The sequence below is a fragment of the Homo sapiens genome, chromosome 20 (assembly GCF_000001405.40).
Source record: "Homo sapiens chromosome 20, GRCh38.p14 Primary Assembly".
NCBI lineage: Eukaryota > Metazoa > Chordata > Mammalia > Primates > Hominidae > Homo > Homo sapiens.
The window spans coordinates 16,683,560-16,704,087 of NC_000020.11; the positions used below are offsets into that span (position 1 = coordinate 16,683,560).

General features: G+C 41.4%; 1 pseudogene; it reads left to right on the forward strand.

Annotated features, from left to right (window-relative positions):
* On the forward strand, positions 498-846 carry RPL7AP13 (ribosomal protein L7a pseudogene 13; annotated as a pseudogene).

The window sequence follows — 20,528 nt, forward strand, 5'->3', positions numbered from 1 at the left end:
GCTCAAGCAATCCTCCCGTGTCAAACTCCCAAGTTGCTGGGATTACAGATGTGAGCTACTGTGCCTGGTCTGGAGACATTTTTGATCATCATAACTGAGAGGATGTTACTGAAATCTAATGGATAGAGGCCAGGCATGCTGCTAAACCCCCTACAATGCACAGAACAGTCCCCCGTAACAATAATAATCTGGTTCCAAAAGTCAGTGATGCCACAGTTGAGAAACTCTGCTCTAGACAATAGAGGTTAAGATCTTGGTATCAGGGTTTATAGATCTAAGTGCATGTTCTTCCCCTGCTAGATCTTGAAGACTCGGCTTCCTCATCTGAAAACAAAGAACATATTGGTATCCATCTCACAAGGTTGTTAAAAGGGCTTTGTGAGGTAATAGAGGTGGAGGTAAGATGCTTAGCACAGTACCTAGTAGAGAGTAAGTGCCCATAAAGTGCTGATCATTATTGCTATTATTATATTTATACCCTTATATACACTGTTTTGGAAGGGGAATTTTTAAATTACTTTTATGTACAGAAAACTCAACAGTGTACATTTAATTCAGCTTAGTGGCAAATCTGTACCCTTTGCCATTTCCAGCTTGGCAATGTGAGCCATGGATTTTGGGCCTGGGACATTGCTTCCCCCGTGATGATGGATCTCATCATATTTGTTGTTGTAATTGGTCTTGGTAGCTTCCACCAGCTTAGCCAAAACTCCTTTGTCTTCTAAGTTAACCTGCATGAAGGTGACAAAGGCGCAGGTCATCTTGTGGATCAGACGTCCCATTCTTGCCTTCCTTTTGTTAATGCCGTAAGGGACCCTTGTCTTTCAACACAAGGCAGGTGGGAAGTGTTTTATATACTCTGAATAATAATAAACCTTTACTCCTTCTAAGGGTTAACCTCTTAAGTACTCAGTTTCTCTATCTAAAATAAAAAGAGGGAATTTGGTCAGTGATGTTTAAGTTTGGCTCAAGGAAGTAAAGAGACTTAGTGGCAATATCTCTTTTTCCCCTTTCCCAGATATTTCTTCCCAGGGGCGATGGGAGAGCGGGAGCCAGTGAGTGAAGATAGGAATCTCCAGCTCCAATTCAGATAAATCAACTCAGCTTTTATCTGTTTTACTTTTGCTTTGAGTCAGGCTTTAAAAAAAAAAAACCTTAAAAAATTATTGAAGTAAAAGATTCATTCCAACAAAACATTTGACAATTTAAGATAGTTTCAACATCTGTAAGCTGAAATAAATATCTGAAGCATTTGAATAAGGCATAAAATATTCAAGACATCTTTTTCCATGGAAGTTTAACAGGTTTTCATGTGACACAGAATAAATCCAGACGCAGAAAGATCTCATTACAATTGAGTCTGGAAGAGGTGTTCTTTGGATTTTCCCAGTCTTGGCCAAAATCTTGAGTCTTATATTCATTCAGGAACCACCTCATTCATCTATCTATGTATAAACACACATGCAATGGTTCCTCAACACATGGATTTGTTGTCTGGGGTGAGAAATCTGTGCCTTGCATTAGGCAAACTTTCGTATCAATAAACAGAAAGTCCTACATTGGGTCTTGACACACATCTACAGTCTTTAACCGGGGGCGGTCAGAGATGTGCTCTGGGGCTGAGCTGGATTTCTTGAGCCTTTTCCATGATGCTCTGGTCTCACAGTTTGTGTGTCCTGGAAGCCATTTGTGTTGCTTATTTTCCATATTGGGGTTGTGCCTGTAGCTCCAGGAAGGACTAACTGCAGAGGCTGGCTACTCTGTCTCTTTGGAGGGACAACTGTTCTGCTTGATGGGCTGCATCTTCTCCATGTGCAATGTTCTAAAGAGCCCCTTCTCGGAACAGTCCCCTCTGCCTGAAAACTGAATGGAAAAAGAACCATACATTCATACAGAACCTGACACCACCCAGGCAGCTACATTAAATACCTTCCTAGCAATGTTTGCTTAGAGTGTCTTTGTCGTGGCCTAATGCATCATGTCTGCGGGTGGCCTGCCCTTCATAGGTGCAGGACTGGGGCAAGAATACAAATGGAGGCCATCAGCTTATGGTCTACCCCCTTCTCTTCTTAGCCCTGACTCCATCTTTGTGCATGTACACATGGACACTTCAGCCTACAAGTTCAAGCCCCATCCATATTATGCGCAAAAAGTCACCCTGTGGCCTCTCTTTGGGCCTAGGGGTGTGTAACTTAGCATGGTTACCCTTGAGAGGAAGGCTCAAGGAAAGAGGTCTGTGCAGACGTTGGAAATGGGTTCAGAGCTGTTTGGAGAAGAAATTACAGGGTCCCAAAGCCTGAATGAAGGCACGGGGTCTCTGGATGATCATGTCTCCTGAGCTCTGCACACCTCCACTTTCTGAGGAGGGATATCCCTGGAAAAGGGCCAGAACAGAGCCTTCTAAAGCACAAGGTCCAGGGCAAGGGATCCTCTTTGCTGGGCTCGAGGATGGTTCTGCATTCCAAAAATGAGATCATGTGTACCTATTTTCTGCTGTTTACCTAACTCATTCAATAACACCACAATGAAATCTTTGTTCTTTTTTATGTCTGTATAACCTGTCACGATATATATATGACAGTTAATTTTATGTGTAAACTTGACCGGGTCACAAGGATCTAGATATATGGTCTAACATTTTTCTGGGTTTGTCTGTGAGGGTGTTTCTGGATGAGATTAGCATTTGAATCAGTAATCTCAGTAAAGCAGATGGCTCTCTCCAGTGTGAGTAGGCTTCATCCAACCTGTTGGAGGCCTGAATAGGACAAGAAGGAGAAGTAAGAGAGAATTTGCTCTCTCTGCCTGTCTTCAAGCTGGGACATGGATCTTCTCTTGCCCTTTGACTGGGACTTACACCCTCAGCTCTGCTGATCCTAGGCCTTTATATTTGGACTGGAACTTATCTTCTCGCTTCTCCTGGTTCTCGGGCCTTCAGACTCAGATTGGAGCTGCAGGACTGTCTTTCCTGGGTCTTCAGCTTGCAGACAGCAGATCATGGGACTTCTTAGCCTCCATAATTACTTGAGCCAATTCATTATAGTCTATCTCTCTCTCTCTCTCTCTTTCTCTATCCTATTGGTTCTGTTTCTCTGGAGAACCCTGTCTAATACAGTATAGGTGTACCATAATTTAGCCAGCCATTTCTCTTAATAAATATTGACTTTGTGTCCAAGTTGTAGCTATGAAAAATGCTACTATAAATATGTCTGCACATATCATGATGTTATTTCCATAGGAAACATTTCCAGGAAAGCAACTGCTACACCAAAAATATATAATTTAAACTCTAATGGATGCTGCCAAATGGTCAACAAACATGTGAAAAGATACCAAATACACCAAATCCTCAGGGAGATGCAAATTCAGCTAACAACAAGACATTACACCTATCAGATGGAAAATTGTAAGGAAGAGCTATAACATCAATATCACTCTGGGGAAAAGTATAGTCTCATGCATGGCTGGTGGAAATATGAAGTGCCCAGTCTTCCTGGAAGGCAGTTTAGAGCTTATTTATAGGGTCACAAAAATAAAACAGAAGTTCCTCTTCTTTTCATATTTCTTTCCGTTTCTGTCAAACTAATACATACATGATGACACTATGAACTCACTCCCTCTTAGATTATTCCCTCCACGCACAGGGAGGAGATCAGGAAGGCTGAAGAATTATGGGCCTTGTATGCTTTCAGCAAATCTCGGGGACTCTTAGAACCTTGTCTCCTGGCTGTGGCTGAAGCTGCCTATCTTGGACACAGCATGCTGAAGTGGAAGTGAGGGGCTGTTCAGGAATGAATGGAGACCCACCAGTAAGCACTGTGGAAAGCCCCCTTTACTTGGTTTAGCGAGTTTTCTGTTCAGAGACCCCCAAATAGGCTGTCTCTAAAGTCTCTATCTGGAAATGCAGAAACCCATGATTCTTTTCCTGAGGACTTTCCCCAGCTAAGAAATTTCTAGCCATAATGTAATGAAGACCTGTGTTTTCCTCTGGGTCAAACAGGCTGCTGGGAGCCTTGGCACCCCACCTCCTGGAAACACTATTGATTTTCAGCATGGTTGATAAAACAGAGAGATAAAAGGCCCAATTTCTCTTTTTATGATGGATATGACCAATTAGCTATAAATGTCAAGTATCCACAACTTAATTAATTCCAGTTCATTTAACTACTGTAATTAGATTTTTTCCCCAAACAAAGCAACAGTATGTTTTCGAAGGTCATAGACTAATACTATAGTGAACAAGGCTGAAAGACCTGCACTTTGGATGGAAAGTAACTGATGGCTGGCTAGTGCCTGTGGGGAAATAGACCACACAATATCAAAAATAATTGGCAGGCTGATTAATAGAGTTTGTTCGAAATATATACATAATACATCTTTGATTAATAGCATCAATGAGCATTTGAACTTAAACCTTTAAAATTTTTAGACATTTTTTAATTTAATGGAAAGACTAGAAAAAAAATCTGACTGGAGTTTGAGTCAGATGGTCCAACGAGAAACCAGAATCCCAATTAGAGAGGAACGTCTCTTTTGCTTGAGAAAAGCAACTTAAACAGTCATATTCTATTGTATAAACCAAGTTCTCCAGGGGATAATATGGGTAGGAAGAGATTTAATCCAGGAAGGGTTAACTGTTTGCCTTAAAAAGTCAAAAGCTTCAGAAAGTTTGAAGAGTTTGGTAGTGGGTGCTGGGGTTGGGAGAGGTGTTTGGTGGGTATTTGAAGGTAAGAGAAAGGGAGACCCAAGCTATGTGGATGGTGGCAGCAAGAATCTGCAGAAGGTGAGAGGACTTCCCCAAGGAGTGAGGGTGTCAAATAACTTCCATATGAAGATGTCTAATAACTTACACGTGGAGACGTCTGTTACTTAATTTTGTTTTCTGTGCTTCCTTCTGCCACCATTTCCCCAAGAGTCCAGTTAAAGTCTTCCAAATGGAACTGGCTTGTGACAGTGGTGCTTAGAGGACAGGAAGAAGCAGGCTTGCACTGAAGTATCCAGCCTGGACTGAAGTTGTGTGGCAGGAAGATGGCTGCTGTGGGCGCCAGGAGGAGCTGGGTGGAGTAGCAAGAGTGGAGAAGAAAAAGCACACGGAAGAGGGGAGCACTCCAGTAAAAAGAACGGCTCTCCAGCACCTTTTAAAGGGAACTGGTCAGGATCTGGATCTCTGTTAGTGCATAGAATGGGGCACGGGGCACAGGATTTTTTCATATCTTTTTAAATTGACTCATTCCCTTTCATTTACCAGTTTTCAAAATGATGCATTAGTTCACTTCCATCCTCCAATGGAGTCCCAGGAATTATTATAAACTCATGTATTAGTTAATTCTTTTTCAATTATTATGAATGCATATATTTAAATGCACTTGTTACATTTCTTTTTATGTTTTGAGACAGAGTCTCGCTCTGTCTCCCAGGCTGGAGTGCAGTGGTGCGATCTTGGGTCACTACAACCTCCGCCTCCCAGATTCAACCGATTCTCTTGCCTCAGCCTCCCCAGTAGCTGGGATTACAGGCATGTGCCACCACGCCCAGCTAATTTTTGTATTTTTAGTAGAGATGGGGTTTTGCCATGTTGGCTAGGCTGGTCTTGAACTGCTGGCCTCAGGTGATCTGTCCACCTTGGCCTCCCAAAATGTTGGCATTATAGATGTGAGCCACTGTGCCTGGCCCACTTGTTACATTTCAACCTTTTGCAGTTATTACTTTTTTTTTTTTTTTGAGACAAGGTCTCTATCACACAGGCTGTAGTGCAGTGGCACAATCAGGGCTCTCGGCAGCCTTAAACTCCCAGGCTCAATCCTCCTGCCTCAGCCTCCTGAGAAGCTGGGATTATAAGTGCATGCCACCATGCTTGGCTAGTTATCTTTAATAGTGCTCAGATTGTCCTATCTATGGCCTAAAGGAGCCTCTTCAAGTTTCACAAGCCATCTTTTATTAATAATACATAGAAAAAGGGTAACTGTAAAAGCCCAGAAGTCTCAAGGATATTGAGGCAGCAGACACTTTGGTTGTCTTATTTTTCTGTAAACTGAAATTCTGGCTATTTTTTACCAGCATCTCCCTTCAACTCTCTTCTTTCAAAATTAGATCACTTGGACTTCATTCAAACATCTTATCAATTCAAAGGAAATCTATGACTCAGTTTTCTTTATGTGTATTTATTAAGTGCCTACCATGCTCCCAGGCTGTGCTGGGCAATGCTCCCTTCTCTGGGGATTTCGACTTTCATTTACTGATGTTGTGTTGTTTGTGCAGGCAGTCACAGCAGTGACATTCTCCACATGTAGATCGGAACATCCAAATGAGAGCTGATACATCAGATTAAATTGGGTGAGGCATCAACAGTAAAAGCCATGGGAAAGGTAATCAGTCTTCAATAGTTTGGGTAAAGCTTTCTTCCTGAAATGGCTTGCTGTGATTGATTTATAACGGAACTTCATTCTTGCTGGGAGTTTCCAAGCATGGGTAATTGGGTTCATGGCCCATGACCAGAGTGGACAAATGGAGATGCCACTGTTGATGGCATTGCTGGCCATGGTATAACTGTGATTTAAGTGGTAACAGCTGAGTAGAATTTCTTCTCCTTAACTACCCTAGCTTTTTATAAATGTGGCCACCTGAGCTGCATTCTGAGCTCTCAAGATGAGTCACGTTTTGGAGTTCCAGAAAGCTTTTCTCCAAACTCTTCTTGGATTTTCAGGAAGTATATCTGTCTGCCGTGGTACCCACTTTCTCCTATGATCAGAGGCCATGATGTCTTTCTGAGGCAGATTAGAAGAATCAATTCAAAGCTGTTGGAGCACATGAGGTCTTTAGTGAAGACAATGACTTCCTACCCTAATTTTCTTTTATTTCTGTGACCTGTTCAGTGTCCACCACAATGGCCCTGAGTGGAGATGAGAGACTGTTTGAAACATTCTCTCTCATCATTGATATAGAAAGTATAGAGTCAGACTAGTTTGAATATTGGCTCTAGCACTTGTTAATTGCATAAACTGGGACATTGTCTTATGTTGGGCTCTTTCTAAAGTAGACTCGGAGAAAAAGTTTTGAAGGCAAGTCATTTACTTGGGAAGTGATTCTAAGAAACACTGGTGGCTGGATGTGGTGGCTCATGCCTGCAATCCCAGCACTTTGGGAGGCTGAGGTGGGCGGATTACAAGGTCAGGAGTTTGAGACCAGCCTGACCAACATGGTGAAACCCCGTCTCTACTAAAAATACAAAAATTAGCCGGGACTGGTTGCACGCACCTATAATCCCAGCTACTTGGGAGGCTGAGGCAGGAGAATCGCTTGAACCTGGGAGGTGGAGGTTGCAGTGAGCCGAGATTGCACCATTGCACTCCAGCCTGGGTGACAGAGTGAGACTCTGTCCAAAAAAAAAAAAAAAAAAAAGAAGCACTGGTATGGGGGTGTGTGGAAGTGAGACAGGAAGGGAAGGAAGCCTATAGAGATGTGTTAATGAGCCATTCACTCCTGTGGCAACTGGGGCTCACTCCTGTTGGGGAACTCTGGGAGGCCCTGGCTCAGTGTTATCCCATATTGTAGGAGAGAAAGCTGGGGTATTCATTCAGTGACACCCATCCATGGGGGTGCTGAGCACCCACCCAGGTGCTTTAACTTTCCAGCTTTTCTATTCTGCTGTGTGTGTGGGCTGGGCTTGTTTTTGAAACCAGAAAAAGCCCCAATCAGAGGGTAACAGGTGCTTGTCATAGGAAGCCCCTGGCCTGGAGGTAGATGGGAACATGTGAATGGTGACTCTGTTACACACATGTTATGCCACATCTCTAAACCTTGGTTTCCTTGTGTGAAAAATGGAGATAACGGGAGCTACTTCTTGGGGTTTTTAGGAAGATTCAAAAGCTAATGTGAAGGGAAGAGGCCTAGCATGTAGCACTCAAAGTAGGCACTTCACATGTATTTATTTCTTTCATTTTTCCATGTGAATACTTCATTGTTATAATAGCAAATAATAATACAAACAGGCTCTGTTTTACAGGATTGGGTGGCAGGAGGAAGTGAGGAGGGAGCAGTGGGTGGACACTGGGTGAAGCATTGTGGATGAATAGTAGTAAAAGCATCAGGCACAGTATTGTATACTCATCCATGGGGACTCTTCCATGTATTCATACACAAAGAGAAGATTTCTGCAGTTTCTTCCCAAAGTTTTCCCAATGGCACCCCTTTAGTATAATATTCAACGTGTTTCAAAAGTGAAATTGCTGCCTGGGTTTTTAAAATAGAATCTTTGCTTTGTGATTAGGCAGCAGAACATGGGTAATTTGTACCAACATATCTCCTTTCATTCTTCAAAAATGAAGTACCTTCTGTCATTAACTCACCACATCCTGTGCTTCCTTTCAGGAAGGAAAAACCTTCCATCAATGTATGAGATGGCTCGCGCTCTCCTTGCTTCCTCCATTTCACAGTTGGAGAGACCACGACCAGAGGTACATTTTGGAAAGAAGTGTATGAACCTCTTTCTGGAATATCCAGGTTCCGGTTACAACAACTCTAGTCCTCATGAAATTGTACTATTCAGGGCCTCCCAGAAGAAAATGAGAATGTTGTACTGTATTCTAAAATTGGGTGGTGATAAATGAATTACACATGGCTTTGAATCTCCTTTTGGCAAGGAAGTGAGGCAGAGCAGCTTGATTGCATTCGTTGGGAGGTGGGGCTGTGCTATATCCTTTTTGTTCTGTTCTGTTTTTATTACATGTACATGTGGGTCTGTATGGGTGTGTGTGTCTGATGAATGGCCACAGCTAGAGAATAACTAGGATTAGAGACCTAGCTAATTATGTCTTTTTTTGTTCTTACCTCAAGATTAATGTATGAGTAAGGATTGGCTAGCCTATGCCAAAATAACTGATAGCCCCTAAATTTCTATAGCTTCCACCAACAAAAGTTAATTCTTGCTCCTTCTACATGTCCATCAAGGGTCAGTTGGGAACTAAACTGTGCTTCTGTGTAGTTCTCCCTGCAGAACTCAGGCTGACCAACAGCCTGTATCTGGGATGCTTCCAGTAATGACAGAAGAATGAAGCTTTGGAGGGATTCCCAGCAATGATTAAGTGCTCAACATGCAGGTGATATACATCACTTGTGCTCAGAGCTCATTGTCCAGAATTGGCCATGTGTTCCCAATCAACCAGAAGAGCTTTAAGAAGTGCAATGTTAACAGGTGCCCAGGAGAGAAAGAGAATTAGCATATGTGGTGAGCACCAGTAATGACCACCACAATTTGAGTTAAGGTTAGACAGCTTAGAGTCCTAATGACTTTTCTGCTTTTATCTAGAAATACTCCCACTTCAAAGACATATTGTCACCATATTCAAGATATAAAATGTCAATCACTTATATCTAGACCAGCACTGCCCAGTGAAACTTTCTGTGGTAATGGAAATATTCTTTGCATTGTCCACCGCAGAACCTACTAGCCACATATAGTCATTGAGCTCTTGAATGACTATATTTAGGTTAGGGTAAGTGAGAAACTAACTTTTAAAATTTTTATTCAACTTCAATTAATTTAGATTTAAATAGTCATTATTGGCCAATACAGTTCTAGATCACTGAAGTCACATTGTGGATTTATTTTTTGTCCATCAGCAATAATAACAATGTCACCTATGCCCTTATATTTGTACTGCATTCTGTAGTTTTCAAAATGCTTTTCTATATACTTCTCATCTCATTTGATTCTCCCAACATCCCTAGAGGGTATACAAGGCAGTTGATACTGTAATGCCCATTTTATAGATATAAAAGCAAAGATGCAAAGACATTAAGTGATTTGCTCATGACTGTGGGACAATTAGTGGTGTGGGGCTAGAAACTAAAAGTCTAGGCTAGTTACGCCCTGTTTGACATTATACACCCTGCTCAGCACCATGCTTGTCTCACAATAAATATTTGACTCAACACTTGAAAAATCCCACAAACATTAACACAAACTTACATTTCTTTCCTTTGAAGCACTTATTTCCATAAGCACTTGCATAGCACTTATTTTTAATATTACTCCATGTTAAACATGGACTAGGCTTACATGAATCATACCCTTTCTTGAATATAAACTGTCAGTATCTGACAGTTTAATATATGAATTTCCTTTTCTCCAATTAAATTTCCCCAGCGCTCCATAAATTCTGGAAATTTTCCTCTTTGGTAACTTCTTCAGTGTCCAGTAGGGTCACCAACTGTCCCAGTTTGCCTAAGACTGAGGAATTTCATGGGATACAGATGTTCAATACCAATGCCAGGACAGTTCCAGGCAAACTGGGACAGTTGGTCACCCAGGTGCCCAGCACAAAGCTGTATTCCTGGTTTGAATTGAATGGAATATTAAAGTTGCGAAGATGTGTTTCAATCACAGCCCTTAACATAGTCACTTGAGAATTGCAGGTACTCCATAAATAATTTTATGACAAAAATGAAGGGTAACAAATTCTGGATATACTTTCTTATGTTCAAATAGCAAACTAAGCAAGTGAATTTTTTTAAGGAACCGTGTGATGTCAGCACATCTCTTTTCTTATATTTCCATGTCTAGTTTGAATGATATTTCTGTTAAGAGTAAAGAAAAATTATGTATTGCTGATCTTGGATAGAGTAGGCCTTAATAGCAGGAGTTCACAGATGCATGGCTGTGCACGCACATCCAAATACACTGTCAAATTATGGACTTCTCAAAAGCTTCCACTGACTTAAGATAGCTATTCTAAAGTTCAAATGCCTATTTTTAAACTTTCTGATGCTCTCTTTCATTCCTTGAAATAACCACAACCTTCTGTGTCTCTGGGGAACATGGCCAAGCTCTTGCTGTGTGGATTTTCCAAGCCTCCGCTCTTACAAGCAGGGCCAGGGCTTTGATTTTGATCTGTGGCTTTGGGGCGGAGGACTCACTCCCTATTGTGTCTTGAGCCTTTGAATGCTTCAGTCACTACAGCATATTGATTTTCTCAACTTCTTCAAATGAGAAAGTGCCTTTGGAATAGCAATAAGGTAGCTCTTTACACACCTCCTGAATAACAATCTCCTTCTGTATCTGTGTGTAGAATAGCCATGCCTCCTTGACTGTTTGTCATTACAACAGGCAGCTTTGCTGTAGTTCACATCACTGTCACCTGGCAAACTTCATGATGCCCTCAGGTTGCCCACACTTTACCCAATAGATATGTTTTTGAAAAGCTGAGGGTTAAACTAATTTATGCAAATCAAATGCTTCTGGTCATATATCTGCGTGGATGTTGTAAAAGAGAACTCATGCAAGGTGGAGAGGGATCCATCCAAGTGATTCACCCCTCTCCCCAGCGGCTGAGATCCTGTGACTCTAGGTTCATTTAATTCTATATTTTATTGATAATTTTAGATATTTTTCATTTTCACTCCTGAGTGATCTTCAATTAGCAATCGTTCCTATAATTTTATTTTTAGTTTAGATTTATTCCTAGGGTTTAGATTTATTTCTAGGGCAATGCCTAGAAGAGGGCCACAGTTCGCAAGGGTGTCATTCACACATACGGATGGAAATACCTTGAGTGTATTGCCTGCCATGAAGTTGGTAGAAGCAGAAGCATCTTCCTTGAGTCTTCTTGACCCATTCTTACTGTCTATGAACATAAATATAGATTTGGATAAGGGAATGAGAAGAAAATCAGGGCACCTTTGGCCCAGGCCATGCACAAGGTACAGTCATAGTGGAATTTGCAAGCAAAATGGGTCCAAGGAGTTGAACCGAGAATAAAATCAAGACCAATTAAAGAGACCACAGGTTTTCAGTTTGGCATTTAAGCATTTGTAATCATCATGCCAACCTTCCTTTGAGATCAGTGGATGTCCAGGGTATACCCCAAACTAAATGAGCCAGAATCACTGGGGTGGGACCCAGATATCAGTATTTTAAAAAATTACCCAGGTGTGCAGGCAAGTCTGAGAATCACTTCTGAGTAAAAGATGGTAAAATAGTCTCAGTTTCTGGAGAAAAGGCCAGCGTACTCTGTGGTACAGTGGAAAGACTATTGGAAAGACTGTAGAGATAGCTGCCAGTAATGGGATTTTCTTTTGGGTTTGGTGCTTTATTTCTACTCCTCACAACAATGGCATGAGATAGATATTCACATTAGGTCCAATTTATGTACCTTTTCACATTTCCTCAGTTTCAAATTTCTCTCCCTGGAGAATCATGCTGCCATAACCATTAACTTATCTTTTGTTAATCCACGAATGTGTTCTTGCCAACTCATCAAGGTTGCCCTACCCTGGGCGTGTGAAGATAGTGTGTTCCACACCATGGACTTGGGATTGTGACCTTAACTCTTTGCTGCTGCTGTGCATCCTCTGTGATTGAATGACTGGCTGTGTCCTTTTGTGGTCTGCTCATTAATTCACCCCCTTGTATTTGCTCTCCTTCTATGCCTCTCTCACTTTTTTTTCCTCCTCACTCTTACGGCCCTGGGATTGGAACCCACAGTAAAATGTTAAAAGGAATATTTGTCACATGTTTGATTTTTGAAAGGGCCCAAGCTAAGACAGTATTATTATCCAATAAATACTCATCTGTCAATTTCCAAAGTGCATATCCTTTTTATTATTTTCCTTCTTTGCTTTTTATTATTTTCCTTCTTTGCTGCCTTCTAGGAAAGAGAACTGGATCCTGACTTCTGCTTTGCCACTAACTTGTAATATAATCTTATGCAAGTCATTTTTCTTCCCTAAACCTCAGTTTTCTCATCTATAAAATGAGAAGGTTAGACTCTCAGATAGTCTGAAATTTTTGGATTCTATGATTCTATGGACACTTTGAACAGTTGAATGAAGCCTATGGATCTTTTTTCACAATTATGTTTTAAAATGCACTGAAATACACTTGTTAAGATATTATATAGGTAAGTGTATATCATAAAATGTTTTCTATTTCAAGCTAGACAACACCTAGCATAAAATATTTTTGGTATGGTAATATATGTACTTCTTTACTCATATATTAAATAGCCACTTATTTAATAACTATGATAATGTTCTGTAGTGATGAGAATAAATGATATTTCAAGATGACGATAAGAAAGCAGCCCTGAAAGCAGCTAGGCTGTAATGATCCAGTTGAAATAAACAAGACTCACAAAATATAAATGATGATCAGATAAGTTCACTGTGTGACCATAATTACAGAAGATAAAGACAAGGATACTTTCTAGAGCCACAAAACACCTTCCTCTTACAATGGACGCAAGTGACTGCTGCTTCTTGATCAGTTACAGCCCTCACCTTGCTTTAATAAAAATTACCTAGATACCCAATCACTGAATTATTTCTCTTTACAGTACCCAGTTCAAAACCTGTCCCTGTCCCACTCCTTAAGACCTCCTAGAAGCACTCACAAGAAGCACAGTCCCACAAGAATCCTTCTCTAACTCCTGCTTGTCCTGACATCCCACGGCTCCCCTGGCTTGGTCTGCCCTTCAGTGCAGCCATCTAAATACAACTAAACATTTGGACCATGGTTGTGTTCCTGGTGGGCTTTAATTTCTGCAACAACCATAATGTGATGTGAGAATACCTGATTGATTTCTACCAAGGACAATATAATTGTGGAGGCGAGATTAAAATCTAAGCACTCCAGCTTTAGAGATTGAACTCTTAATCCTCTGTGCTCCCCAGCCTCTAGGCATACAAAACTTTAAAAATACACAAAACATAAATAATCACAACCAGTGATGAACTATTCCATACACAACATCCGTAAAGGCATGCTTGAGTTAGGGGAGAGATCTTAATTGGGACCAAAATAACAACCACAAAAACCAGTCATGGTAGAAAAGGAAATAATGCAGCTATATCAATAACAACAATAACATTTTCCATTTGTATAGTCCTTTCTACATTACTGAACCCTCTGTATATGAGTCTCAGCATAGTGAGGGCAGACCCTCCATCCAGGTTTTCTGGGGCATAGCCTAAGTCATTCTTTTACCTACAGGATCTAACGTAATAATTCCCATAGAGAGAAGACGGCTTCTTCTCAGCTCATTGTTGAAGCTTCACTATTTAGATTTATATTCAGCCAATATTTACTAAGTGCTATTATGGACTAAATTGTGTACCCCTCCCCTGGCAACAAATTCATATGTTGAAGCCCCAACTCCTGATATGTATTTGGAGGAAGAGACACCAAGGATGCACACATAGAGAAAAGGCCATGTGAGGATACAGCAAGAAGGTGGCCATCTGCAAGCCAAGGAGAGAGACCTTAGGTGCAATCGATCTGCCAGCATCTTGATCTTGGACTTCCAGATCCAAGCATTTCTCAGAACTATCAAAAATACATTTCCGTTAAGTCATCCAGTCTGGTAGTTTGTTATGGCAGCACGAGCAAACTAATACAAATGACTAATGAAAGTGCTAATAATTTTACAAGTTACTTCTTTGAACTATTGAAACTGACCCCGTTTTCTCATAGACAGTTTTTGTTGTTGCTGTTGTTGTTGTTGTTTTTGGATAAGCATAGAAATTGATCCTCCTCGTCTTAAACCTGAAACTTACAATTACTTGTCTTGTCTGAGCTTCTTCCTCTGGAAACCAACCCTCATGCCTCCCAGATGGTATCAAGGAACTGAAACTCCTTTTCCTTAATTCCTGTTTTCCCAGACATTTCTGCATTCCTTCTCTGCTACATAAATCCCCAGTTTTAGTCAGTTAGGGAGATGGATTTGAGAGTTATCTCCCATCTCCTCAGCTGCAGCACAGGAATAAAAAGCCTTCCTCCCTGACAATACTCGTGATCTCAGAGACTGGCTTTCTGTGTGGCAAGCAAGCAGACCTAGACCGAACCCCTGGCATTTTGGTAACACCACTGCAACCAGAGTATAGTCAAACCAGTTTCTACTGGCTTGTGAGAGCCACTTTTTAAATTTAAAAAAAATTTTTAAAAATAGAGACAGGGTCTCACTGTGTTGCCCAGGCTGTCCTTAAACTCCTGGGTTCAAGCGATTCTTCTTCCTCAGCTTCCCAAAATGCTAGGATTATAGGCATGAGCTACCACACTCAGCCTTTTTTAGGAATCTTGTGAGCTGGTTTTTAAAGCAGCCATTAGGAAAAAAACTACCTAAACTTACAATCAAGTAAGTTATATTAAAAACAAAAGTAAGGCTGGCACAGTGGCTCACGTCTGTAATCCCAGAACTTTGGGAGGCTGAGGTGGGTGGATCACGAGGTCAGGAGTTCGAGACCAGCTTGGCCAACATGGTGAAACCCTGCCTCTACTAAAAATAAAAAAATTAGCTGGGCATGGTGGTGCATGCCTATAATCCTAGCTACTCAGGAGGCTGAGGCAGAAGAATCGCTTAAACCCAGGAGGTAGAGGTTGCAGTGAGCTGAGATTGCACCACTGCACTCCAGTCTGGGGAACAGAGTGAGATTCTGTCTCAGAAAAAAAAAAAAAAGTGATAAATACTCAAAACTCACCACTTCCTAATTGTTTTACTACATTTTGTATTTTACATATTTGTATTTTTATCTATGTTTATATTTTACTACATTTTACATTTTTTATTCTGCATGTGCTTGAAGTTATTTATGTCTATTGTGTCTGAAATACTACATAGTGATGTGCTACTGTGCACCTCTTCTCAACTCTGTGTTCAATAATATCGGGTGAGTGGTTTGAAACAGGCCATGGTGGGAGTATTTACACCATGGAAATGGACAAACAGTACAAATCAGGTTTTGTTTTGTGTTGTTTTTCCCCAGAGAGCTATTGTTAAACACTTACAGCATGTTCTTGACCCTAACAATCTCACAAGAGAGACGGTGTAATTCCAGATTTACAAATGAGGAAACTCCAGCCCTAAAACTCAAGACTCGGGCGCAAACTGGGGTCTCTTGGCTCCTGGACTAGGGCCTTTTGCATGATACCACACTGCCTCTCCATGCATACATGAGGAAATGCTGTTGCTCTATTTATAGCTCAGCCTGGCTGCCCAGAAGAATCAGATTAAAAGGGGCCTATGCATTTGGTGAGGGTCTTGCCCTGCCTCTTAAATTTCTCTGCCCAGCACAGGCGTTGTGTCATTCTAATAACCAATAGGATGAAGGCCACTTGCTATAAATTCCAGGGCACTGGGAAAAAGCCATGGGAGGAACACTCTTTTATAACCACAATTTGCAGTCTATTATAAAGTACTTTAATTGCTACTCAGTGTACGATTTTTCTGCGTGTTTTTCCAGCATGGTGAAAATTAATAAGGAGAGGGGTGCCGAGTCCACCCTGCTGGGTTGTGGGAAGCAGAAGCCCTGACCATTCAGAGATGGATTTACAGAAGCAGGAACTGAAGACAAAGCAGGAGGTCTTCAAAATAACTCTCAGAGAAGCTTCTTTGATGAGCTGAGGCAATTCAGCAACTTCGGCACTGCGCACTCGTGCTCATAAATCGCCAGTATTTGCAGGCGTTGCAAGATGTCTCCCAATATGCAGTTAAAAAAACATTCTCACTGCAGTAGCACTAAAGATCTACTGCCAGTTATTTTGCTTCAGTACCTTGCATCTTAAGGGACAATTTGATTTTTGCAGTTGATTATTGGGTGCACACAGGTTTAAAAAGGCTAAATATTGAACTACTCCAAAAAGAATCTTAGGAAAGTCATTTCCCTATTCGAGAAACCTTTGAAGACTAAAATATGTTCTTTAACCTCTGAAAGTGAGAGAGTCTAAAGCTGATGTGAACCTAGGCTGTGCACGTGAATCTCCTGGAGAGTTTTAGAAAACCTCATGCCTGTATCCACTACCCTATAGATTCTGATTTCAGTGGCCTGGCCTGGGTATTTGGATTTTTAAAGACTCTCCAGGAGAGTCTCATGCACAGTCAAGTTGGAAATTTTGAAACCTTGATACTCAAAGTATGGTCGATCTGTAGGCCAGCAGCATCAGCATCCCTGAGTACTTGTTAAAAATACGGAATTTCACCCCAGATTCACGGAATCAATCTGTGTTTTAACAAGATCCCCAGGTGATTCAATGGTGCAGCCAAGGTTGAGACCATCTAGAACCTAGAAAATAATCTGAGAAGCTGTCCTTATGAAAGACACCACGCCGTCTTCCTTATTTCCATTTAAAGGTGGTTTTTGCCTCTCCTTCCCCATATCTAGTTAGGTATCAAGTTCTGTTGATTTTCCTTTCAAATCAAATCTCCCTGTGTCTCACAATGTCCAGAATTCCCTAATGTCAGGGTATTTGCTGCAGCAGCCTCCAGGCCCCCAACCCCTTCCATCTCCCTTGCAGGTTACTGATAGAATAAGTCCTTTAATTTCCTCTGCTCAATGACATTCCTGGCCCCGGTTTCCTACACATCTCAAATGTGCATCTCTCTCTGTCTGACTCCAAGGCCGTCCCTCACCTGGCTCCTGGTGACCTGTCGAACCTGATTTCCCACTGCTTTCCTAATGGTTCTCTCTGGCTTCAGCCTGTCTTTTCACCCAGACACAAGGTGCCAGCCCAGACTTCTCTCTCTTGGCTCCTGGAAAGCCATGTGCTTTCAGTCTTCCATTTGCCTCTCCAAACCTCATTCATCCTCCCAGGCTGCTTTCTTTTGCTTTGATGCCTCCAGTAATTATAATCTGAACGATTAATTATTAGCTTCACATCATATTGGTCATCAATTTTCATGCACATAGAACCAAGCTGAGCATGAAGGGCTAAAACAGAATGAAATGTAGCGTGGAGATGAACCCAGGCACTCCCTGTTCAAGATAGGCCTGGCCTCTTCAAGAAGGCACCCTGGTTGTGACCACATCTTTCTGCACTTAGGGCAGGCCTAGTGGTTTTGCCTCTTCCATTGGACTCTTGGCCTTCAGGTTGGTCTTGTAGCCTCTCTGGATTAAGTGTTATCATCACATCCAGCAGTTGGGTCCTGGTGCTACCTGTGGGTAGACCATCATGCCACATGGTGGCAGTGCAGATGGATAAGAGAGGCAGGAAGAATATGTAATAATAGCAATAGTTTAGGGGTTTCTACGTGCCAAGCACAATTCTGAGTGTTTCATATGTGATTCTTTAATTTTTTTAATTTTTAATTTAATTAATTAATTTATTTTTCTGAGACGGAGTCTCGCTGTGTCACCCAGGCTGGAGTGCAGTGGCACAATCTCGGCTCACTGCAACCTCCGCCTCCCAGGTTCAAGAAATTCTCCTGCCTCAGCCTCCCAAGTTAGCTGGGACTATAGGCATGCATCACTACACCCAGCTAATTTTTTGTATTTTTAGTAGAGATGGGGTTTCACCATGTTGGCCCGGCTGGTCTCCTGACCTCAGGTGATCTGCCTACCTTGGCCTCCCAAAGTGTTGGGATTACAGGTGTGAGCCACTGCACCTGGCTTGATTCTTTTATTTTAAAAAGCCCTTTTACTATAAAATAAAACATAGATACCAGAAAATCATGAAGTTTTATAAGGCAATACCTGTGCAAACAGCCAGATCAAGGGACAGAACCTCACTAAGAACCCTAGCACCTTTCTGATGCATCCCATCCTAATCAGAGTCCCCTATTTCCCTTCCCCCAAGAAACAAACTCATCATTTTGATTTTTTAAAAATTATGGTAAAACACATAACAAAATTTACCATTTTAACCATTACCGAGTGTACAATTCAGTGTCATTAAGTACATTCACACTATTGTACAACCATCAACACCACCCATCCCCAAAACTGCTTTTATCATCTCAAATTGAAACTCCCATTACCCATTACACAAGAACGTTCCATTCCCCTCCCCCACATACTTAGTAACCACCATTCTGTCTACTGTGTCTATGAATTTGACTACTCTAGGTACCTCATCTAAGCAGAATTATATAGTGTTTATCCTTTTTGTGACTGGCTTATTCACTTAGTATAGTATCTTTAAGGTCCATCTGTGTTGTAGCATGTGTTAGAATTTCTTTCTTTATAAGACTGGATAACATTCTATTGTATGCACATGGCCCATTCTGTTTGTTCATTCCTCTGTCAGCGGACACTTGGGTTACTTCTACCTTTTGACTGTCATGAATAATGCTGCTGTGAACATGGATGTCCAAATATCTACTATGATTTACTATTTATACTTTTATCATCCAATTTTGCATCTGCAACCAAGCACTTTGTTTGGTCCCAACTCTTCCTTAAAACTGATATTCCTTTTAATTCAATTTTAATCTTCAGTTTTTTGTTTTTTTTTTTTTGAGATGGAGTCTTACTCTGTTGCCCAGGCTGGAGTGCAGTGGCACGATCTCAGTTCACCACAACCTCTGCCTCCCGGGTTCAAGTGATTCTCCTGCCTCAGCTTCCCAAGTAACTGGGACTACAGGCAGGTGTCACCATGCCCAGCTAATTTTTGTATTTTTAGTAGGGACGGGGTTTCACTATGTTGGCCAGGCTGGTTGCGAACTCCTGACCTTATGATCCACCCGCCTCGGCCTCCTAATGTGCTGGGATTACAGGTGTGAGCCACTGTGCCCGGCCTAATCTTCAGTTTTAAAATGTTATCTCTCATCCTGACAAGCTGTACGCAATAGGACTATTACTGGTCCCATTATGCAGACGAGGACATTGAGGTTGCTCAAGGCCACCAGAGGAGTGATGGGTAAAGCTATGAAAGACATATGCTATGTCTGAGAGACAAAGCATATTTAGAAAAAAGTCAAACTATTTCATCTATATTGGAGAATGTCTGCATTTGGGGACACGAGAAGAAGGAAGACAGTGTCAGAGACTAAGAAGAAATGGACAATAGGCTATGAGGACCAGGACAGGGTGGCATTGTGAACAGTAGATTGTGTAGTCCTTAAAGTTCACCATTTATAGTTTATTTACTTTGGTCCTTAGCTAGAGTGGGTTAAGTTAACCACATTCTCAGGTCACGGAATGTATGTTTGTATGAGGCCCTCTTGTTTTATGACTTTATTCTCTTTTACTTCTGCCTCCACTTCTACCTCCACTTCAATCTATCTTCCCTTAATTGCTATAATTATCTCTGAAAATAGCCAAAACATTGAGAGGTTAATCTGGTAAGTGAACTGGGTGGCTGGTCAAAACAATGACATTCATTCCAATACTGGATAAATTACCTCTTTCAGTGATGGTTAGTTGAAATCCGAAATCCTTCTTCCACTCATATAACACATATTTATAGAGCATCCCCTCCATGCCAGAAATCCTTCTAGGCACTCAAGATTTGGCAGGCAGCAAGGTAGACACGATGCTTGTTCCCATGGACCTATGTTGTTTTGGAGCTATGTGATGAAATTATAAATGGATATATCAACAGAAGAAATTCAGAAGAAAATTAAAACAGGTAGAAAACAAAGCAGGAGGTTGTGACTGGGTTGGGGTGCACGTAACTTTAGACAGCATGGTCAGAGAAAGGCTCTCGGAGGTGGTGACATTTGAACTGAGACCCAAATGGCAAGAAAGAACCATCATGGTTCTTTCAAGCCCCCCAAAAAAATAGGTTTGAAGCAGAAATATTAGCAAGTTCAGATGTCTTGAGA